Source organism: Homo sapiens, chromosome 1, assembly GCF_000001405.40.
Source record: "Homo sapiens chromosome 1, GRCh38.p14 Primary Assembly".
Lineage (NCBI taxonomy): Eukaryota > Metazoa > Chordata > Mammalia > Primates > Hominidae > Homo > Homo sapiens.
The window spans coordinates 88,724,720-88,749,980 of record NC_000001.11 but is presented as its reverse complement, the minus strand read 5'-3'; the positions used below and the strand labels follow the sequence as shown (position 1 = coordinate 88,749,980).

Genomic DNA, 25,261 nt, shown 5'->3' with positions numbered 1-25,261 from the left:
CCTTTGGTCTTTATTTTATAGCAAGCTGGCTCTCTATGTCCAAAATTCATAAAGTGGTACTTGAATAGCCAGGATATCTGCTTAAGAAACACTGTTTACTGCATTAAACAATTAAAGAGGAACTATACTAATAGCTGAAATAAACTTAGCCAAATCTAAATTAATAAGGTTAATATACAAAATCACTAGCTTACTATTTATCTATATTCTTAACATACTTCTTCCTATAAGTCTCTAAGTTACTATTTTAAAAATAAACTGCTCCAGAATCTTGCCATGTGTTACCATTATGTTAACTTTATACTTCTCCTAAAGTCCAACTTTCTTAAAGAAAGATACTTTACCTTTTACAGCCCTCTGGAACCTACTCAGGTTGTAATGAATGCTGAATAATTAAAGGAGGCTTAATTGGTTATTTTATATACTTGCGATAGCCCTTGTCATATATCACCAACTGAACTAATTTTGGTAAATATTTTATAACTAATACCACCTCTGGTTTAAGCTTTCTTAATATGTTACAGAAATAGGCAGGGTTAACACTGTGAGTTAGAATAATTTTTTTTTTTTTTTTTTTGAGACGGAGTCTCGCACTGTCGCCGGGCTGGAGTGCAATGGCTCGATCTCGGCTCACTGCAACTTCCACCTCCTGGGTTCACGTGATTGAGTTAGAATAATTTTTAAGGTAAAACAAGCAACCTAGGTATAAAAATTGCAGAACTGCCTCTATCTGAAATATCTTAATGTTTGAAAACTGCACCTATCATCTCCTAGTAGAGAAGACTTCTTCATTCTGTACATAACTCTGTACCTAGGGCATGCACTGTTCTTTTGTAAATTCTCCTTAAGATGGTGCTGCTCTATTTTTATTTCCTCTATGACAATAATGTATATTAACTACTACATACTTGTTAGACTGGTTAATAAAATATATTAACAATACCAAGTGCTGGAGAGAATGTGGAACAACTAGAATTCTCATTCACTGATAGTGGGAATGAAAAATATCACTACTCTAGAATATATTTGGCAGTTTATTTCCTTCTTTTTAAAGACCAGGTCTTGCTCTGCTGCCCAGGCTGGAGTGGCATGATCATGGCTCAATGTAGCCTCAAACTCTCAGGCTCAAGTAATACTCCCACCTCAGCCTCCCAAGTAGCTGGGATTACAGGTGCACACCACCATACTTGGCTAATTTTTAAATTTTTTGTGGAGATGAAGTTTCACTATGTTGCTCAGGCTGGTCTCAAACTCCTGAGCTCAAACGATCCCCCCACCTCCACCTCCCAAAGTGCTGAGATTTTAGACATGAGCCACTGTGCCCAGCCATCTTCTTATAATGTTAAACATATGTTACCACATGACTCAGCAACCCTACTCTTCAGTATTTACCAAAGTGAACTGAAAACTTTATTCACACAAAAATCTGTACGTGAATATTTATAGGAGCTTTACTGATAATTGCCAAAAATTGGAAAACCACCCTAACGTTCTTTGTGAATGGATAAATTATAGTACATTTATACAATCAACTATTACTCAGGAATAAAAAAATGAACTACTGATACACACAACAACTTGAAGGAATTTCAAAGGCAATATGCGGAGGGAAAAAATTCTCAAAAACTTATATACTTTATAATTCTATGTACATGGCATTCTTCAAAAGAGAACTATAGTGACAGAACAGGTCAGTGGTTGTCAGGGAATATAGAGGTGAAGAAGGGTGTGACTACGAAGAAAGAACATGAGGGAGATGTATAGGGCATTGGAACTATTCCTTTTTCTGAATGTGGTGGCAGTTAGATGAATTCATCTTAAAATTCATGGAAAGGTATACTAAAAATATATATACAATTTTACTACACATTAACTTTTTTGGAAAATATATCATAAAAAGAATTCAAGTATTAGGGAATCTATACATTTAATCTCATGATTTTAAAGACAAGGAAACAAATCCAGGAGTGCAAAAGAGCAACTTACTAATGATCACACTATTTAAGTGGGCAGGGCAATAGTAAAAAAGAAAATTAAATCTTCATTTCTATTCATCCAAGACCACAAACTGTTCTTTAGTCATGAACAAAGTTCCCTCAATACAGATATATTTTAGGAATTTAGAAGAATTTGCTAAGATTAACCCCACAAAATCCCAATATTATTAGGTATATTATATTACTAAATTAGTAATTCCCTTCTGAATATTTCAAATATTGAAGAAAATATTCACCAAATTAATAAGTAAAAACCAATCTAAGTTTGGTGGGGTTTGAAAATATAAGAATGGTACAAGAAAAGGAAATAAAATGAAAACAGAGACTATACACTACCCAAATTATTATCTATACTTAATAAAATATTAAAAAATGTTCTTATAGTCTTCTTCAGTGATGACATACTTAAAGAAACCAAGATTCAGGAAACCGGATCTTTCTCAAACGAGTGTCAGGTTCCAACTAAGGCTTAGATTACTACTCCATTTTAGAGATCAGTAATCTTTTTTCATAAGGTACATTTAGCCTCAGCTAACCATCACTGTAATTTCCACATAGAATGACAACAGTACCCCATTAAACTATTTTTATTTCTAATCAAACAAATTATATATTTATGGGGTATAATGTGATGTTTCATTACATTTATACATTGTAGAATGATCAAATTAGGCTAAGGTATCTATCACCTCAAATATTTATTTCTTCGCAGTGGGATTTAACAACCTTTCTTTTAGCTATTTTGAAATATACAATACATTGCTATTAACTATAGTCACCATGCTGTGTAATAGATCAACAGAACTTATTCCTCCTGTCTAACTAAAACTTTTTAACCTGTGACCAACAACTTCCTCTTTCCCATTTACCCATCCTCCCCCTCCCCAGTTCAAGCCTCTGGTAATCAGCATTCTCTTCTACGTCAATGAATTTGTCTTTTTAAGATTCCACACATAAGTGAGATCATTAGCTATTTGTCTTTCTGTGTCTGGTTTATTTCATTTAGCATAAGGTCCTCTAGGTTCATCCATGTTGCAAATGGCAGAATTTCCTACATCTTTAAGGCTGAATAGTATTGCACTGTGTTTATATACCATGTTTTAAAAATCCATTTGTCTGTTGATGGGCACTTCAGTTGTTTGGATATCTTGGCTATATAATGCTGGAATGAACATAGGAGTGCAGACATCTCTTCAACATGCTGATTTAAATTTCTTTGAATATATACCCAGAAGAGGAATTGCTGGATTGTAAAATAATCCTATTTTTAGTTTTCTCAGGAACCTCCACACTGTCTTCCAAAGTGGCCATACTAATGTTACAATACCACCAACAATGCACAAGGCTTCCCTTTTCTCCATATCCTTGCCATCACTTACCTTCCATTTTTTTGATAATAGCCAATCTAATACACATGAGGTGGTATCTCATCGTGGTTTTAATTTGCATTTCTCTGATGGCTAGAGATACTGATCATTTTTTTCATATTATCTGTCGGCCATTTATATGCCTTCTTTTGATAAATGTCTACTCAGGTCCTTTGCCCATTTTTTAAATAAGATTATTTCTTTTCCTTGAATTCAGTAGTTTGAGTTCCTTACTGACCCCTTATCCAATATATAATTTATAAATATTTTCTCCCATTCTTTGGGTTGTCTCTTCACTCTGCTAATTGTTTCCTTTGCTGTGCAGAAGTTTCCAATTTGATGCAAACCCATCTATCTATTTTTGCTTTTGCCTCTGCTTTTATCCAAGAAATCACTGCCTAGACCAATGTCATAGAGCTTTCCCTCTATATTTTCTTCTAGCAGTTTTATAGTTTCAGGACTGACATTTAAGTCTTATAAACGTATAAGGTAAGATAAAGGTATAAGGTATAAAGGTATAAGGTTTAAAGGTATAAGGTATAAAGGTATTACGTATAAGGGTAAGATAAAGGTTCATCTTCCTTCTTCTGCATGTCGATATCCAGTTTTCCCAACACCATTTATTGAAGACTGTCCAGTCCCCACCGTGTGTTCTTGGCAGCTTTGTCAAAAATCAATTGATTTGAATTGCGTGGGTTTATTTCTGGGCTCTCTTTTCTATTCCATTGGTTAATGAGTCTATTTTTATGTCATTATGATGCTGTTTAGATTACTATAGCTTTGTAATATTTTGGAATTTGGTAGTGTGATGCTTCTAGTTTTGTTCTTTTTGCTCAAGATGGTGTAGGGTCTTTTCTGATTCCATATAAATTTTAGGATTTCTTTTTCTATTTCTGTGAAGAATGATGTTGGGATTTTGATACGAATTACCTTGAATCTGTAGATCACATTGGGTAGTATGGACATTTTAACAATATTAAGTCTTCCAATTCATGAACACAGGAGATTTTTCCATTTATTTGTACCATCTTCAATTTCTTTCATCGTTTTCTATATAGAGCTCTTTCAATTCTTGGTTAAATTTACTACGTATGTTTTATGCTATTAATGAGATTGTTTTCTTAATTTTATTCAGATATTATATAGTTAGTATATAGAAATGATACTGACTTTTGTATGCTGATTTTGTATCTTGCAACTTGACTGAATTCCTTTATTAGTCCTAACAGCTTTATGGTGGAGTCTTTAGAATTTTATACATATATGTAAGATTGTGTTGTTCACAAACAGACAATTTCACTTCTTCCTTTCCTATCTGTATATCTTTTATTTCTTTTTCTTGCCTAAGTGCTCTAGCTAGGGCTTAACAGTACTATGCTGAAAAGAAGTGTTGAGAGTGAGCATCCTGATCTTGTTCCTGATCTTAAAAGAAAAGCTTTCGGCTTTTCACCATTAAGTACAATGTTAGTTGTGGGCCTGTCATATATAGACCTTCTTGTGTTGAGAAACATTTCTTCTATACCTAATTTGTTCATAGAATTTTTATCACGAAAAAATGTTGAATTTTCTTAAATGCTTTTTCTGCTCCTATGGGGATACTCTTATGGGCAAAAATCATATGATCATCTTTAAAGTATTTAGAAGATGAACAAGAAGCTCAGAGTATCATGGGCATGATGAGAAAATAAAAAATTCATTTCCTACTACTCTTAAGAATAAATGAATACATTTATTTTACAAATAACTTTCTCAAACAATCAGACCTTGACATTACAATAAGGAATATTTCAGAGTTTTATAGTTTAAAAGTTCATCTGATAAAAATCCTTATTTTACAAACAAGAAACTGAAGATTCAGAGATTATTATTACAGAGGTGAATTAAGAACAAGTCCCTAGCCGGGCAGGATGGCTCATGCCTGTAATCCCAGCACTTTGGGAAGCCGAGGTGGGCGGATCAACAAAGTAAAGAGATCAAGACCATCCTGGCCAATGTGATGAAACCCTGCCTCTACTAAAAATACAAAAATCAGCTGGCTGTGGTGGCATGGAGCCTGTAGTGCCAGCTACTCGGGAGGCTGAGGCAGGAGAATCACTTGAACCCGGCAGGCGGAGGTTGCAGTGAGCTGAGATGGCACCACTGCACTCCAGCCTGGTGACAGAGGGAGACGCAGTCTCAAAAACAAAGAAAAAAACAGAAGTCCCCTAACCACTTAGACAGTAATGATTTACACAATGCAGACTTAAATTTTGTCCCTCTTTCCTTCAGTCATTTGTTCTGCTTACTAAGCTTATGTACCCACAAGACAACAGGAATTAGTCAAACACTTCTGTTATAAATCCACTCATACCTTTCAGAACTGAAAGCAAAGCACAATGTCCTTGAAATCTTCTTGCCAGACCTAATCTAAAATAAATTCATGGGATTACCTTAGTGTGCAAGGTAAAACATCTAAAATTTTATGGCAAACTGACCTAAAATTAATGACATTAATTTTAATCCTCTATGTTGTGGTTGTTGCTTTTAGATTGTTAAGTTAGTAAAATGGAAAAAAGAGAAAATGACTTATTACCAAGTTGTGTAAATATGCCATTTGCAAACAGAATTTTTTTAATAAAATAAAAATTTGACGAACTTATCAAGTTTATTCTAAACAAACTGAAGTATTAAGAAGTCACAGTATAAAGTTATATTTCATATATCATCTGCCCTCCAATTATCTGAAATGTCAGTATTAAAAATGGTCAGTATAAAAAGTTTCTGGCTTTATCATAAAACTTTTAAGTCTTTGTTTTCTAAGTTATTTAATGTTTCAAGTGTCATAATAATTAGGCTTTGATACTAATTCTAAAGACTAATATAAGATGCGATTTGCTGGGTGTTTTTCTATTTTGAGATATAATATTCCCAAGTAAGCATCTACTATGTTTCAGTTTCTGTAATAAGCCTTGAAAATAGATGAGTGAACACATGTCCCTCCCTTCAAGGAGGAGACAGTTTAGTGATATAACATGTACAGAAATACATTACAATGCAACAATGAATGGACAAAGTAGCACAGAGAAGATAAAGCAGAGAATGTCATGGAAGGTTTTATGGTAATACCTAAAAATTGTTTTTTAAGGGTGATCAGGAATTTGATAGGACTTAAAGGAGGTAATTTCTTTATATAAAACAGTAGGAAAGACAAATTCAATCTAAAGTGATAGAAGATGGATCAGCGGGTTCCTATGGCCAGGGTTGGGGATCATGGGTTAGCTGGGAAGGAATATACGAGAAGCACTGAAGTGATGAAAATGTTCTAGATCGATTGTAGAGATGGTTAGCTGGGTGCACACACACAATTGTTAAAAATCATTAAATCATGTACTTAAAATACGTGCATTTTGTCATACGTAATTTATACTTCAATAAACCTTTTATTTTTGAGACAGAATCGCTCTCTGTTGCCCAGGCTGGAGGGCAGTGGCACGATCTTGGCTCAACACAACCTCTGCTTCCTGGGTTTAAGCAATTTTCATGCCTCAGCCTTCCGAGTAGCTGGAACTACAGGCACACGCCACCACGTCGACTAATTTTCGTATTTTTAGTAGAGACAGGTTTTCACCATGTTGGCCAGGTTAGTCTTGAACTCCTGGCCTCAAGTGATCCGCCTGCCTTGGCCTCCCAAAGTGCTAGGATTATAGGCACGAGCCACTGCACCCAGCCACAATAAAGTTAACTTTTATAAAACGAATGGGGAAACCAAATGGGCTCCTCGTGATGATAAAACTCTTCTATATCCCAGCGAATCACAAGGTAGTTATCAGTATTCTGTGAGGAGGAAAATTTCTCTAAATAAACAGCTCCAGTGCTGTTTCTTATTTTAGACCGCTCCTAAAGATGTAACAGGCAAAAAAAAAAATGTAGAGTTTGGCAGAGTTCCATGGAACAGGCTATTTCTAAGTTTATATAATATTACCAAAAAACAGCATTTTCATAATACATTATTTCCATTTATAACATAATTATAGAGTGTGTAAGAATACTAGATGAAGAGCTGAAGCGTTCTTTTTAACTAGATTGGTGATTCTGAAAAAACTAATTTGCATCTTTGGGATTATTTCAATCTAAAATTAGAAGGTGGATTTCCTATTATTTCTTTCATTTTAAAGTTTCGATTATTCTTACAAGGTTGAAATCTCTACACAGAGAGCCTCCTAATAAAAGCCCTAAATCCCAGATGTTGAAAGTGATGTCGAAAAACAAGTTTTAACAAGAACACTAAATATCAGTAGTGTTTTCTGCAACTTTTGAGATGGTAAAAATTTAAGGTTCTTAGCCAAATTTATGTATTTTCTTAATCAAAATTAAAATTACTTACATCTATTATTTATTAGCTAATCACACACGTTCTTCTAAATTTTCTACCATGCTATAGGTGTATTACTCTATACACTCTCACACTCTTTTTCTTTGCAAATAAAAAAATTGACAGTTACAGAGATTGATAATGTCTTGAGGCCTTGGCTTAAACTTAAACGTAAGTTTTTGTATGAAAAGTTATAGAAAGACTATACATACTGATGGGTGAATATTGGCACAAATATAGAATTTTTTATCTGGAAGGATATACAACAAAAAGTAATGTTACCTTTAAGGAGACGGTCTAAGAAAGAAAGAGGTGGGTTTTCAATCTTTATTTTCTGTACCATTAAAAAAATTCCAACATAAATATTTATTAATTCTATTGTTTAAAAATTATGTTTTTATATTGAAATCATAGGTTATATTTTCCTCTTATTTTCTATAAAGAAAATAAAAGTAATGTGTAACAGTTTTTTCTATTATGTTTTTCTTTTTTGAACACTATGCCTAGTAGTTTACTTGTTAATTCAGTTGCTTAGAGCACAAAGAATGAAGGCCATAGGTTTGACTAATTACATTTGCAAATAATAAAACTATCTCTTGTTCAAAGAACACAGTTTTAACTTTAAGTCAGCTGGCAAACTTGTGCTGTTGATTACAGGATGAATCACGTAAAAGCATGTGATTGACTCAATACAAAACATTAATACTGGAGACTCACTCTAAGTAACGTCCTACTGATAGAGAGTAAGAGAGAATACATTAGGGTTATTAAATTCTAAGTAAACATTTCAATTTCCATACCTATCAACTCCTGCCCTTCTAAACAGAATATAAATAAGACCTTAACCAAAAGAGAAAAAGTCTCTCTACTTTCAGAAAAGCTAAAAACTATTCATGTCCCCAAACTTACTATTTTCTAAAAAGATACATTTTTTTTATTAATATACCATATAAACATCAAATAAAGCACTACTATACCTGTAATATCTTCTGGATCTGATACAACAATATGTGCATTTAATTCCTGCAGCTTGTGATGTAGTTCTTCTAATTTTTTATTTGATTTTTTCAAAATGTTGTCTACATAAGCCAAACTTTTTTTATCTGTTGTGACTTTCCTCAGATTTTCAGCTCCTTCTTTGATTTTCAGTTCTTTCCTTATTTCTCTCTTAATTCGATCCTTGATATCATCCAATTTCTGCTGCACCATTGTATCTGAAAAGTCTAATTTTTGAACAGCACTCACATTCTCAGAAAACGGAAGACTTCGGGAATCCCCCTACAGAAAAAATAAACATACAAATGTGGGAGTTTAGGAGAGTTGGCTGCTCAGTAAATATGCAGTGTTTTCAGCCTAAGAGAGTCTTTCTTGATTACATTACATTTAACTATATTTAATTATCTCCTTAATAAGCAATAGACCAACTACTTACTGACTTTTATTATAACCATACAAAATCATAAATTCAAGAACTCACTGGCTACTAAGTAGCATTACTTGACAAATACATTTATATTAAAATAAAGTGAACACATCTACACACAAAGGCTGTGTAAAGATAGCGGATTTTGGTATCTTAGGAACCCAGGTTAGATCCCAACCCCTACACTGTGAACCTTGAGCAAGTTACTTAACTTTTCAAATACTCAGTTTTAATAGTCTACAAAATCTAAATAATAATAGTAGCCACCTTTTAGAGATACTGTGATAATTCACAAATATTGTAAATGAAGTTCTAAATACAAGTACTGGGTCACTGCAGTCACTTAATAAATAAAAAGTATTATTAAATTCTATAGGTAAACACTAAAAGCCCAGACTTCATCACTACATAATATATTTATGTAACTAAACTGCACTTGTATCCCTTAAATTTATACAAATAAAAAAATTCAATAGGTGAATCATTTTATCTTCTGTAAGAAACTTCTTAAAAATAAATGAATATTGGCAAAATAGATACCTTTATGACCACTTTTTAGTTAATGAATTAAATGTACTAGGGCTTGGGAAAACTATATTCAGAACTCCATTTATACAGTTGTTCTTTGGTATGTGTGGGAGGTTGGTTCCAGGATCCCACATATACCACAATCTAAAGATGACCAAGTCACTTATATAAAACGGTGTGGTATTTGCATATAATCTAAATACACACCCCATACTTTAATCTCTAGTTATTTATAATACACAATACAAGTGGTATGTAAATAGTTGCTATGCTGTATTATTTGTATTATTTTTTATTTTTTTTTTCCCCTAATACTTTCAATCTGCAATTGGTTGAATCTGCAGATGTTGAATCCACAGATATGAATGGCCAACTGTATACTTCAAGGCTAAGTACTCCAATTGGTAATTTGGTTGACTCAGTACAAAAGCATCATTACTTGAGAACACCTCTAAATTGTGTTCTATTGATGGAAGCTAAGACAATACACAGTACAGTCACCTTAAAATGAAAATCCAATCAGTTAAGCACAGCTAATCTATATTTACAACAACTAAAGTTATGTTCTAGCTATTTCTATATCATTTACTGTTTCAAAGTCCATTACTATAATACCATTGGATTTAAAATGTTTAAATTCTGAAACACAAGAAACCAAAGATAATGGTTACCTCTAGGGAGGAGATTTGAGTTTATGAAGGACATGGAAAAGAAAAAGACACACTGTGCAGCCTTTTTGTACCTTTGAATCACAGACCTAATTAATGCAAAGATTTTCTTTAATTTTTTGAGAATTCCTCACACCCATATAAATAAGTTGATGCAAGTACTTTCTACATTCATTCTTAATTTCTAAAAATTATGTATCATGCAAAATAGTGAAAAGGGTGAGCTTATGGGTGATACGGGATCTCGTCTTGGTTTTCATATCAATTTACCTTGTGCCTGCAGGTATATTATGCAAAATATGAAGTAGTTGATTTCTATAAATCTCTTTTTTTTTCTGGTAGAGATGGGATTTTGCCATGTTGTCCAGGCTGATCTCAAACTCTTGGCCTAAGTGATCCTCCCACCTTGACGTCCCAAAGTGCTGGGTTTACAGGCATGAAACACGTGCCCAGCCTGTTTCTAGCTAAGAATTCCTTTGAAACGCCAACAAAAAATAGTACAAAGAAAATTTCATGTTGTTATGTATACTTACCAGGTTCCACGGATCCTAGGTTAAGAATTCCTAAAACAGGTAATCTACACCTGTTAGAAGTTGTATTTCTGATCTGTCACTATACAGATAAACAATGATCTTCTACCTGAGCCAAAATGCTGTCTAGATTTTTCACTATTTATAATGGAATATAAGTCCTACGATCCATTTGGTTTCCAAAGTTTAAGTGTCTATCCTTGGCAAGTTGTCAACAACACTAGCACATGTCTATTGTCAAAGAATAAAATCCCAAATTCATATTGTCTAGTTTCAGGTAAAGTGGACTGAGGCAAAAAATGCTTAGATAAAAAATAGTTTAAGCTAGTTCCATTCCTCCAAATATTTTTGTTTCAATCCTTACACATTTATCAGAAAACACTTTATGAACTGCTTTCGCAGATTTGTTCTTTAATATTATGTCCAAAGCCAGAGGTCTGCAAAATTTCCTTGTTCATGGTACTCTTAATATCTCAGGAAATTATTCCTTATTTCTCATAGGCCAGAAGAAATACCTAACACTTTCGTTTACTGCCTACCTCAACTCCCATTTCTTTCCACTTTGTTCCTTAAACTCCAATCATATCAAATTATAAAACTTTACTTCAAGAAATCATCTCTCTTGGCTCAGCCACTAAGCATGCTTCACCTTTGGTATGCACCATCTCTCCTTTCTCCTGCAGTTATCTCTTTCAAGTATCTTCTTGACCCTGTTAACTTTTACTTTGTTTCAAAGATCAAGAACAACTCTTGCTGGGAAACAATTTCCTGTCCAAAGCCTTTCTTTAGAATTTAGTTGAATGCCTCTCCTGTGTGCTCTGATATTGTGTACCTTATTGAAACAATTACCCCTTTTTTTTATCTGACCACTCTTCAAAGACTATGAGCAATTTGAGGGCAGGGCTTATGCTTGGCAGATTAGTTTGGTTTTTTTTTGTTTGTTTGTTTTTTAATGACTTGTCCATTATGTTATTTAATATTCTTCCTTTACAATTAAGGAAAACCTGCCACTGCTGAGGAACTCATGCTTCCCTCTATCTGATAAAGAGAATTTGGAGAAGAGGCAGAGTCAAGATGGCTGAATAAGACTCTCCAGCGATTGACTCCCCACAGAAACATAAATTTGAACATGATCTATGCATGAAAGTAACTTCGCAAGAGCCAAGGAACCAGATCAGAGATGACCATATCTGGTTTTAGCATTACTAAGAAAAGATCAACTGAAGAGGGTAGGAAAGACAGAGGTACAATGCCTGAATCACCTCTCCCCCAACTATAAGCACAGCACAGAGAGAGACACAGCCCACTTGGGGTAAGGAGAGGGAAGTGAGTGCAGGACTTTTGACTTGTAGCTCAGCACTGGGTCTGCCGTGGTGAAACCCAACACCAGGCAGAACCCCATGCCCCTTAACCCCAGACCAAGCTAGGCAGACAAGGACCCATCCCGATACTATGTGGAAACCTGTGGCCTCAGTATGACAGACTTGTGTTCTGGCATCTACAGTAGCCTCAAGCCATGAGTGAACTTCAGCAGCAGGAAGGCTACAGTGGTATGGGCCTGATTGGTGCCCCGGGGATGTAGTAGTCCTGGTGGCAGGACTGGGACCCCATTATTCTTCTTCCAACCCTAGGCAGCACAGCTTGGAGAGTGCCTCCATCTACTGGGGGAAAAAGAGGGATACAAAAGCAGTACTTTGATCTTGACTCAGTGACAAGTCTGCCATGGTAAGACTCCACACTGGGCAAAATCTGATGGCCCACTGATCCCAGGCTGGCACCCAAAGACCGTGCCTCTGAACTCATTTCAGTGTCAGGCAGAGAGACATGGCCTCAGTGGAATAGACTCAGGGGTACATCACTACTGTCTGTCTGCAGTGGACTTGAGCCACAAATAAACCTCAGCAGCAGGCAGGCTATAGTTCCATGGGTCTTGGGCATATCCCTGTGCTGTGCTTGTCTTGGCAGCTATGGTTTTCAGGTGTGAGCTAGCATTACGGTGGCCGTCCTGGCCACAATACTGCCTGCTCCACCCCTTCCCTCAACCCCAGGCAGCACAGTGTGGAGACACTGATGCTTGAAAGAATGAGAGGGGAACAGGTACACAATGTTGCTTTGGAGCATGCCATGGTGAGGCCCAAGCACTGAGCAGAGTGACACAGTGCCTAACGTGTCCTGGCCCCAGTGGAAACTCACACACCCAGAGAGACACTCCAGTCTCTCCCCTAGTCAATCTGGGCCAGAACACAAACCAACTGTGAATTCACTGCAAACCTGGGCTTACGGTGCCATCTAGTGCTGAAACAGTGATAGTGGCCAAGGGCTCAAAGAACACAATAATCGCCCTGCTTAGAATTTCTGGAAGAACAGGAACAAACCACCACCAGGCTTTGAATGGGGAATAAACAGCTAATCCCTCAATGTTCAGATGTCAGGGCAGGCCAAAGGCATGAAGAATATTCAGGGGTCGGGCACAGTGGCTCACGCCAACAACTGGGAGGCTAAGGTGGGTGGATTACCTAAGGTCAGGAGTTTGAGACCAGTCTGTCTAACATGGTAAAACCCTGTCTCTACTAAAAAATATAAAAATTAGCCAGGAGTGGAAGTACATGCCTGTAATCTCAGCTACTCAGGAGGCTAAGGTTGGAGAACTGCTTGAACCTGAGAGGCAGAGGCTGCAGAGAGCCGAGATCATTCCACTGCACTCCAGCCTGGGCAACAGAGTGAGTGAGACTCTGTCTCAAAAAAAAAAAATTTTAAGAAAGCATTCAGGAACCATAATTTCATGCAACAAACAAAATAAGGCACCAGGAAACAACCCTAAAGTGATGGAGATGTGTGATGTCTCAGAGAATTCAAAAGAGCTGTTTTAAGGAAACTCAATGAACTTCAATAAAACACAGGGGAAGAATCCAGGAATTTATCAGAGAAACATGAGAGATTAAACAAACTGAAATCCTGGAGCTGAAAAATACGATGAACAAAATGAATGCAGTAGAGAATATCAACAGCAGAATCTATCAGATACAAAAATCTGAGCTTGAAGACAAGCTATTTGAAAACACATAGCTGGAGGAGAAACAATTAAAAAAAGGGTAAAAGGGAATGAAGAAGTTTACAGAACAATGCAACAGTATCAAAAGAGCAAATATTTGGGTTACTGGGCTTCAAGAGGGAATTGAGAATGACAAATGGGAAGAAAGCTTATTCAAAGAGATAATAACACAAAACTTCCCAAAACTAGAGAAAGATACAAATTATCCAGGTACAGAAAGGTCAAAGGTTACCAATCAGATACAGCCCAAATAAGTGTACCCCAAGAAATACCATAATCAAATTCTCAAAGATCAAAGACAAAAATATTTTGAAAGCAACAAAAGCAGCAAATAACATATAAGGAAGTCCCAATCTGTCTAGCAATAGACTTCTCAGCAGAAACCTTATAAGTCAGGATGAGTGAGATGATATATTCAAATTGTTAAAGAAAAAAAAAGATTGGGGGTGGGGGGGGGGGGGGTGGGCTGTCAACCAAGAATACTGTACCCAGCACAGCTATCCTTTAGAAATAAAGCAGAGATAAAGACTTTGCCAGACAAATGAAAACTAAGAGAATTTATCATCATCAGATATGTCTTACAAGAAATGTTAAAAAAAAATAGGCCAGGAACAATGGTTCACATCTGTAATCTCAGCCCTTTGGGTGGCCAAGGTGGAAGGACTGCTTGAGCTCAGGAGCTCAAGGCCTTGGGTGGCATACCAAGACTTTGACTCTACTAAAAATGAAAATTAAAAAATCAGCTGGGTGTGGTGGCGTGTGGCTGTAGTCCCAGATACTTGGGAGGCTGGGGTGGGAGGATCATTCAAGTCCATGAGATCAAGACTGCAGTGAGCCATGATCGCACCACCGCCCTCTAGCCTGAAGGACAGAGTGAGACCCTGTCTCGAACATACAAGCAAACAAAAAATGCTAAAAACAGTTCTTTAAATGAAGAAAGAGACTCTAATGTGTAACAAGAAAACATCTTAAAGGTATAAAACTCACTAGTAAGTATACTGGAAGATGGAATACTATAATACTATAAATGTGATACATAAAGCACTTGTATCTTTAATATGAAGGCTAAAAGACAAAACTATTAAATAATAACTATTTTAATTTGCCAAGAGATGGGTAATATAAGATGTAAAATGGGACATCAAAAATTACAAATGTGGGAGAAAATGGAGTTAAAAGTAGAGTTTGCTTTTTCTTTCTTTTCCTATCTTTACAATCAAAGTTGGGTTGCTATCAGTTTCAAATATCTCATTTTAAGATTTTTTTCATAAGCTTCATGGTAACTGCAAAGCAAAAACCTATAAGAAATACACCAAAAATAACAGGGAAACCATCAAAACACATTACTAGAGAAAATCACCTAACCATAAAGAAAGACAACAAGAGAACATAAATAGCCAAAGTAATCTAAAGCAAAAAGAACAAAGCTGGAGGCATCATACTACTTGACTTCAAAACACATTACATAGCTATAGTAATCAAAATAGCATGCTACTGGTATAAAAAAGACACACAAATCAATGGAACAGAAGACAGTCCAGAAATAAATCATCTATCTACAGTTTATTAATTCTTGACAAAGGGGCCAAGTACACTCAATGGGAAAAGGGCAACAAGTGGTGTTGGGAAAACTGGATATCCACATGAGAGAATGAAATTAGATTCTTATCTCTCACCACAGACAAAACTCAACTCAAAATGGATTAAAGACTTAAATGTAAGACCCCAAACTACAAAATCACAAGAAGAAAATATGGAGGAAATATAGGGGAAAGCTCCATGTCACTGGTCTAGGCAAGAATATTTTGGACAAAACCTGAAAAGCATGGGCAACAAAAGCAAAAACAGTTTGAGCATTCTAAATCCAAAACTCTAAAACGCTCCAAATTTTTTTTTTTTTTTTTTAAAGATAGGGTCTCACTCTGTTACCCAGGCTGGAGTGCAGTGGTACAATCATTGCTCATTAGCAACCTTGAAACATTGAGCTCAAGTGATCCTCCCACCTTAGCCTCCCAAGTAGCTAAGACTACAGGTGGGCTCCACTATGCCTAGCTAATTTTTATCTTTTGTAAAGACAGGGTCTTGCTACATTGCCCAGGCTGGTCTTGAACTGATGGCATCAAGTGATCCTCCTGCCTTGACCCCCCCAAATTGTTGGGATTATAGGCGTGAGCCACTATGAAACCTTTTGATTGCCAACATGATACTCGAACTAAATGCTTATTGGAACGTTTTGAATTTTCAAAATTTGATTTGGAATGCTCAACCACTAAGTATAATGCAAATATTCCAGAACCTGAAAAAATCCCAAATCCAAAACACTCTGGTTGTAAGCATTTCAGATACAGGATATTTAACCTGTATAGACAAATGGAATTGTATCAAACTAAAAATCTTCTGCATAGTAAAGGTAACAATCAACAGAGCAAGGATGCCAGTCATAGACTGGGAGAACACATTTACAAACTACACAACTGATAAAGGGTTAATACCCAAATATAAAGAACTCAAACACTCAATAACAAACAAATAACCTGATCAAAAAATGGGCAAAAGGCCTACATAGACATTTCTCCAAAAAAAGAACATACAAACAACCCACAGGTGTATGAAAAAATGTTCAACATCACTAATCATCAAAAAATGCAAGTCAAAACTATAATGAGATATCACATCACTCTAGTTAGAATAGGTACTCTCAAAAAATCAAAAGATAGCAGGTGTTGATGAGGGTATGGATAAAAGGGAACCCTTATACACTGCTGGTGGGAATGTATAGCCATTATGGAAAACAGCATGAAGGCTACTCAAAAAATTTTAAACAGAACTACCACATGATCCGATAAATCCCACTACTGGGTATATATATCCAAAGAAAATGAAATCAGTATGTTTTACAGATATCTGCACTCCTATGTTTATTACAGCATTATTCACAATAGCCAAGATATGGAATCAACCTAAATGTCTATCAAAGAGAATAACTATTTTTATGTTTCTTGTTACATATTCCCAACTTTTTTGTACCCATTAACCCATCCTTCCCTACCCGTTTTTCCCTGCTCCCCTCTCGTCCTCTCATAACTACCATTCTACTCTCTACCTCTATGAGAACAACCTTTTAGATTCCACCTATGAATGAGATCATGTGGTATTTGTCTTTCTGTGCCTGGCTTAGTGTCCTCTAGGTACATTCACGTTGTCTGAAATGACAAGATTTCATTATTTATGACTGAATAATATTCCATTGTGTATATATACTATATTTTATTTATCCACTTACAAGACTTCATTTAAAAAGTTGGGAATATAAAACAAGAAATTTAAAAATAGTGTTTCTCTTTGACATAGAATTATAAAACTCAAGAAATCTAACCTAAGATAATAATTAGAAATTTTTGTTATATAGAATGGTCAATTCAATAATTTTAAAATTAATAATATGTTCAATGCACTGTATTGGGCACAGACAGACTCCCTTATAAAGCTTACAAATATCAGGGCTTTAAACCAACTTTAGAAAAGAGAAAGTTCAAGATGCTACCTAAGTGTCATAACAAAAGAATTTCAAGTCAGCTAGCGAATAAAGAAAGGTTTCCCTTATTTGTGCCCTTGATTAGTTAACAGCAGTATATGCAGCTGATATACTGCTGTGTAAACACACTTTTATTTCAAGTTATGTTAAAAATAAGAACTTTAAAAATAGAGGGAAAGATAAATTAAGAGGGATTTCCATTTTATTTTTCAAAGTTTTCCATGTTTTCTCTATTTTTTTGACAATAAAATTTTCTCCACTTCTTTTTTTAACCTTGCCTAATAAGGAAAAGACATTATTTAAAAGAAACCAAAAGAACCAAAAGTAATATTAACTTTATTTCAATTGTGGAAAATGTAAAAGCTTATAATCATATCTTATACTACATTATATCTGCTACTTAACCTTGCCACTTTCATTCAACACAATTCTACTACAAGGGACCAAACTACAGACTACACAGTACATTGTAATTAAATTACCTCATGTGCCAGTCAAGTATTTCAAATACACAAATGTGATAATATGTATTTGGTAAATACAATGACTTTTACTTTGTACAATAATGAAATTCTTATTTTTAGACTCAAACATAAACTGACATTTTCAATTTAATATACTTCAACAAACTCACAGTAAAGTTAAGAAAAACACTGAAATAAGAACAAGACCAGATTCAAAGAACAAAATGAAAATGGACTGTCACTCGTGACCAAGTACTTCATTTAGGGAGAGACAGGAGAGGATGTTTACTCCTCACTGGCCCAGTTCCCAGAGTAGTGAAAAAGCTGTTACTCTCTCTACATTTCAGAAATATAAAACAGTCTGACCTGATAGATGCCAAGAAATGTTAGAGTACCCATAAAAACTCACTGGATACAATGATTCATATACTATGTTAGCTAGAAGGAATTTCAAAAACCATTTAGTCTAACTTTCTTGATTTTAGTCTTGGGGAAAGCATGCTTAAAGCAGCTAAGCAACCAGCTGTCAGAGACCTGGCTGGGTTCAGCTTACTAGTCCTTCTGACTCCTGGTAAATTGCGTTTTTATTTACTCCATACCATCTTCTTCCAGGGGCCCTCTGAAATACCCGTTTATCTATATTTGAACTACATCTTGACCAGATTGATTTGCATTAATAGATATTACCTGCCTTAAGCCAGGGATATTAGCAGAACACATTTCTTCTTCTCTAATTTCATCCTAATCCAACATTCTGTGCCTCAAAAGGAAAGTGCTCTCAACTAGAAAGCAAGAAACCAGTTCAAACACAAGCCCAGTGTACTGGCTATCCAATTCAAGCGTATTATCCTACTTATCTGTACCTGTTTGCTTATCTATCTTTCGGTTTCCCTATCATACAAGGTTTAAAAAAAAACTTTATTCAAAACATGCATTGAGTTCTAGGTAATGAAATATAAAGATAAAAATGACCTGATCCTTCTTTCTTTCTGGTATTCAATTTATTAAAGAAGACAGACATGAAAACCAAATATAATTTGAAAGAGCAGCAAAGGCTTCACACAAATGTAGGCCATATTGTGTTTTTTGTTTGTTTGTTTTGAACAGAAGGCTCAGTTAGAATGTTGTGTTATGGAAATAATGAAGCATTTGGCATCAGAATGACCATGTATAAATTCTGATACTGCAATCATGCTAAAGCTTCGATTTCCTCATCTGTGAAATGGAATTATTATAACTGCCTGACCATATTATTTTTAAGTCTCATAACGGCCATGCCCACTGAAAAAATATGCTTTCATAGCAACAGTACAGTTTCTGGCACATAGTTGGTACTGAAGCAGATAGTGCTGGGTGCCTACATAATAGCATCCTCCTATTATCCTCACTTAAAAAACAATAATAAAAAAGAAAACCTCCCATTTTGTTAGATGAAACAATGTCTACAGCTAAAATTCTCATTTCACCAGGCTCTCCTGCAGCCAGAAGTAACCACATTACCAAGTTTCATCAAAGAGAACTAAATCCAGGATTTTGATGAAAGCTTTTACTTCTCCTTTTCTATTTGCCAAGAATGCAGACCCAAGGCTTGAAAGTACAGCAGTCATCTTGTAACGAGGAACAAACAGGACAAAACCCAATACACTAAGGATGGCAGAGCAGAAAGAGAGAGAGCCTGGGTCCCTGATGGCCTTACTGGGCACTGCTATACAAGCCCTAGACTGGCTACCTTTCTACTTCTTGTTTCTGGGTCCCTGATGGCCTTACTGAACTGCTACACAAGCCCTAGACTGGCTACCTTTCTACTTCTTGTTTCAGATGGAAAATAAATCCCTATTTGGTTAAGGCAAGATCATATAGGGCCCTGTAGGCCATATAAAGACTGGTGTTTTTTTTTTTTTGAGACGGAGTCTCGTTCTGTCGCCCAGGCTGGAGTGCAGTGGCACAATCTCCGCTCACTGCAAGCTCCGCCTCCCGGGTTTACGTCATTCTCCTGCCTCAGCCTCCGGAGTAGCTGGGACTACAGGCGCCCACCACCACACCCGGCTAATTTTTTTGTATTTTTAGTAGAGACGGGGTTTCACTGTGTAAACCGGATGGTCTCGCTCTCCTGATCTCGTGATCCGCCCGCCTTGGCCTCCCAAAGAAGACTTTGGTTTTTACTTTGAATGAAATGGAAACTCAGGGCAGGGTTTCAGCAAAGAAATGATATAGTCTGACCTGTGTTAAGAAATAATAGATTTCAAGGGAGGCAGGGCAACATGTTGCGAAGCTATGGTGCATTGTTACAAAATGGCCTCAAGTGAATCCTGCCTCTTTGCATTCACACCCTTCCACATGGACTCTGAGGGTAGTCTTCTGAGGGACTCTGACTAAAGTGACATTCTACTGATGTGCAGGAGTTCCAAGTACAGGCTTCAAGAGAGCTCATAGCTTGTTTTTGCTCTTAGAAACCAACTGCTATATAAAGAAGTCCAAACTATCCTGCTTGAAAGAGAGACAACATGGAAGACGAGAGAAACCATGTGGAAAGAGGCCATGTGTATGAGAACAAAAGCTTTCCAGCTGAGGCACCAGACATGTGAGTGAAGCCACAGTAGGCATTCCAGTCCAGCTTAGCCACCAGCTGAATACAGCTGCATAAGTGAGCCCAGTTGAGACCAGGAAAAGAAACACCTAGTATACCCGAAGAATCTTGAGATGAGCTTGCTATGCTGCAATAGACACATAATAAAGAGGCTATTGTACTAATCTAGGCAAGAAATGATGATAGCTCTAAGCAGTCTTTTCAAATACAATTATTATCGATTACTTTCTGTGGACTCCTACTGGATAACAACTGTAACAATTTAATTTAAAAGACGGAAATGTTGGCTGGGCGCAGTGGCTCATGCCTGTAATCCCAACACTTTGGGAGGACGAGGCGGGCAGATCACCTGAGGTCAGGAGTTCAAGACCAGCCTGGCCAACATGGAGAAACCCCATCTCTACTAAAAATACAAAATTAGCCGGGCATGGTGGCACATGCCTGTAATCCCAGCTACTCAGGAGGCTGAGGCAGGAGAATCGCTTGAACCCAGGAGGCAGAGATTGTGGTGAGCCGAGATCGTGTCATTGCACTCCAGCCTGGGCACAAGAGCGAAACTCCATCTAAAAAAAAAAAAAAAAAAAGATGGGGATGTTAATAACATCACTGGACATTGGCTATAGACTTGTGGGGGGAAAAAGACATGATCTATATTAAGCTAAATATGAGTTCATAATGACGTCTCCAACTTGAATCTATCAAAACACAGATCACTCTAGCCTCCTCCCGTTGATTATCTGTAAATCCCAACTCCAACAGTGAGAAACCTGGCTCCTACCATCTACCATCCATTTACTGAATCATTCAATTCCAGTAAAACGTATAGCAGGATCAGAACTGTTAACCCATGCCCCCATGGGAAACAACTTTATCAACGAAAGTACAGTAGTTATATGGTTATCTATTTTTCTGTAAATCTAAACCTGTTCAAGAATAAAGTCCATTAAAAAAACAAAAACAAAATAACCCTTACACTCAGGAGTGTATGTCTAGTGAGAAGAAAGACATTAGATAAGCAAACCACAATTAAAAATTTTGATAACAGCAAAGAATGAAAAACCTGCTTGTAATTTAGGTTAAAATATCAAGAAAAGTAGTATTTATTTTCCTTCTCCAGAAAAGTAGTATTTATTGAGACCTGAGAGATGACTGAGTTATCCAAAAGGAGAAAAAGAAACATGTGCCTGCTTGAAGAACCAAAACAAAAATTAACTGTCAAATTTCTGGTTCTCAACAAGATTGAGTAGGCTTATATCTCTTCACTCCAGCCCACATAAATTCAACTAAACACCCTGGACTTAATACAGCAGAGAAGGTAGAAGGAAAAAAACAGACCAGTTAGGAACTTCAGGTCTTGAGGAAGACAAGATATGAATTCTCTGGGTTTTCCTTTAATAGACTTCTCCAGATTGTGCCAGAAGTCTGTAACCCAAAACCAAAGAATAAAAAAAAAAAAAAAAAAGCCCCAAGAAAAACCTGCTCTCTTTAGCCAAATAACTGCAAAACAGGGCAGCCCAGTAAGACAGAAATCTTTTTGAAATACCAACCCTACCGCAGCCAGGCATCTCAGATGCTTCCTACCTTGCTGTTAGAGGGTGCTGAGTGGGGATCTGGACTTCCCATCTGGCAAGAGTAGGTGGTCCGGTTAGTATTATCAAATTGGAAGAAAAAAGTGTAGATTAAAATGGAAGATTTGTACACTTCACCTATGTGGAGAATGTCAATACTAATAATCTGATAAATTACACATGCATATTATAATACCCAAAGGAACTACAAAACAAAAAAAGAGTGATATACGGAGAAACACTGTAAGAAATCAAAATGGAATTCTAAAAAAATACACATGTAGCCCACAGGTCAAGAAAAGGGAAATGGGAATGAACAGAAAACAATAAAATAGCAAACTTAAGCCCTCACATACCAATAATCACTTTAAATACAAATGGTCTACACACAAAAATTTAAAACACAGGTTGGTACAGTGGATTAAAAAAATGTGGCCTTGGGCCGGGTGCAGTGGCTCCTGCCTGTAATCCCAGCATTTTGGGAGGCCAAGGTGGAAGGACTGCTTGAGCTCAGGAGTTTAAGACCAGACTGGGCAATACAGTGAGACCCCATCTCTTAAAAAACAAAAACAAAAACCCATATGTTACCTAAAGGAATGCTGTTTCAATGTATCATGACACAGGTAGGCTAAAAAGGATAGGAAAGAATATACCATATAAACATTAATAAAAAAAGTAACCATATTAATACCAGGAAAAAGCAGACTTCAAAGAAAAGAAAATGAAAAAAAAAAAGAGCGTCATTAAAAATGATAAAAAAGTCTATCCACCAAGATGACATTAACAATACAATTCTGGAAACAACACAGCTTCAAAACACAGGAAGCAAAAACTGATAAGGAGAAATTGAAAAATAGACAATTATAGTTGGGGACTTCAACATCCCTTTCTCAGACAGATAGAAGTAGTAATAGAAAACCAGGAAGAATAGAAAGAACACTACCATCAAAAAGGGAACTTAAGCAACATTTATAGAAATGTTCCACCTAACAAGAACAGAATACATATTCTTTGCAAGCACCCACAAAATGCTCACCATGATAGACCACAGCCTGCATCATAAAACCTAAAGAAATGTGAAGAAACATAAGCATACAGAGTATGAATCAATAACTTAGATGAAATGAACCAATTCTTCAAAAAAAAACCACCAAAACTCACCCAATATGAAATACATAATCTGCACAGTCCTATATTATACAATATTCTCCAGAAAATCAGAGGAAATACTTCCCAATTGCTCTTATGAGGTTGGTGTTACCCTGACAGAAGAAATACACACAAAAACTAATTTCTCTCATGAATTTAGATGTAATAATCCTCAACAAAATATACTCAAATTGAATATAGTACCGAAGAAAAAGAATTATACAATACAACACAGTAGGGTTTACTCCAAGTATATAGGACTGGTTCAATATGCAAAAATCCATCAATATAATCCACCATATATCAAGAGAATAAAGATTTAAAAAATCACATGATCACGCCAACTTATGCAGAAAAATTATGTGACAAAATTCAAGAGCTATACATGGCAAAAACTCCAAGCAAACTAGAAAAGAACTTCAACTTGACAAAGAGTATCTACAAAAAAATTTACAGCTAACATCATATGTAACGGTGAAAAACTAAATGCTTTTCCCCAAGATCGGCATTAGGACAAGGATGTCTGCTCTCAGCACTCTTATTCAATGCAATATCAGACATTCTATCCACTACAGTAAGTTAATAAAAAGCATATAAACTGGGAAATAAAACTCCCCCTATTAGCAGATAACAGGGTCATGTATATAGAAAATCCCAAGGAATGTACTAGAAAACATCTACAATAAGTGAGTTCGCAAAATCACAGAATACAAGAGCCATATACAAAAATAATCATTCTTCTATATACTAACAATGACTGTGTAGACAACAAAGTTAAAAACACAATACCAGTTACAATCTGTCTAAAAAATTAAAACATAGATAAAAACCTAACAAAATATGTATAGAATTGGTATGCTCAAATGAGTCATAGATCTAAGTGTAAAAACCATGAGAAAATCTGTGTTTTCCCCTTTATCTTTTAGAAAAAAATGTAGGAGAAAATCATAACCTGGGGTTAAGTGAAGAGTTCGTAGGACACCAATAGCATGATCCATAAAATAAGCAAACAAACAAAAAAGATCAATTGGACTTATCAAAATGTAAAACTTTTGCTCTTCAAAAGGTGCTAAGTGCATACCATAATAGAAGAAAATATTTGCAAATCACATATGTAACAGGAGATTCATATGTGGAATATATAAATAACTATACTCAACAGTAATGAAACAACCAATTTAGAAAATAGGCTTGAACAGATACTTCACCAAAGAGGATATATAACGGCAAACAAGCACATAAAAAGATTGCCAACATCATTAGCTATTAGGGAACTGCAAGTTAAAACCACAATAATAGATGTCTAATAAACACCTATTTAAATGGCTAAAGAAATACTGATAATACAAAGATTCTTGTGAAAATACAGCACCAACTGGATCTCTCATACATTGCTGTATGGAATGTAAGGTGGTATAGCCACTCTGAAAAACAGTTTGGCATTGTCTTATAAATTTAAACATATATATTTAAATACTGTATATATCTAAACAGTAACACTTAACATGACCTAGCAATTACACTCTTGGATATTTACCCTAAAGAAAGGAAAACAAAACTGTATAAAAATGCCCAGAGTAACTTCATTTGTATTAACCCAAAAGCTGGAAATAACCCAATGTTCTTCAACGGGTACATGGGGAAAAGGATAAACATATTGTGGCATATTCACAAAACAGCATGCTACTAAGCAATAAAAAGTAACTACTTACAGGCACATGCCTGTAATCCCAGCTACTTGGGAGGCTGAAGCACAAGAATTGCTTGAACCTGGGATGGGGAGGCTGCAGTGAGCCGAGATTGTGCCACCGTACTCCAGCCTGGGTGACAGAGCAAGACTGTCTCAAAGAAAAAGAAGGAAAAAAAAAAAAAAAAAAAACCAAGGGGTGGGGGCGGGCACAGTGGCTCACACCTGTAATCCCAACACTTTGGGAGGCCAAGGCAGGCAGATCACAAGGTCAGGAGTTCAAGACCCACCTGGCCAACATGGTGAAACCCTGTCTCTACTTAAAAAATACAAAAATTAGCCGGGCATGGTGGCA

General features: G+C 36.0%; 1 protein-coding gene and 1 long non-coding RNA gene across 7 annotated transcripts in view; both read right to left on the bottom strand.

The window, feature by feature from the left end:
* Positions 1 to 25,261, bottom strand: part of PKN2 (protein kinase N2) — a 151,983-nt gene that overhangs the window by 86,275 nt on the left and 40,447 nt on the right. For 5 of the 6 annotated variants that reach the window (XM_047425224.1, NM_006256.4, NM_001320707.2 and 2 more), the window contains one exon: positions 8,693 to 8,993. The exons of the other annotated variant lie outside the window; for it this stretch is intronic. In XM_047425224.1, the coding sequence (XP_047281180.1) occupies positions 8,693 to 8,924 (232 nt within the window). In that variant the 5' untranslated portion in view covers positions 8,925 to 8,993. The remainder of the gene's footprint in view (positions 1 to 8,692; positions 8,994 to 25,261) is intronic. 6 annotated transcript variants of the gene reach the window in all.
* LOC124904213 (uncharacterized) lies at positions 5,074 to 8,133 on the bottom strand. The gene is made up of 2 exons (XR_007066210.1): positions 7,998 to 8,133; positions 5,074 to 7,240 (listed from the first exon to the last, which is right to left on the bottom strand). It is a non-coding gene; the product is annotated as an uncharacterized LOC124904213 (long non-coding RNA).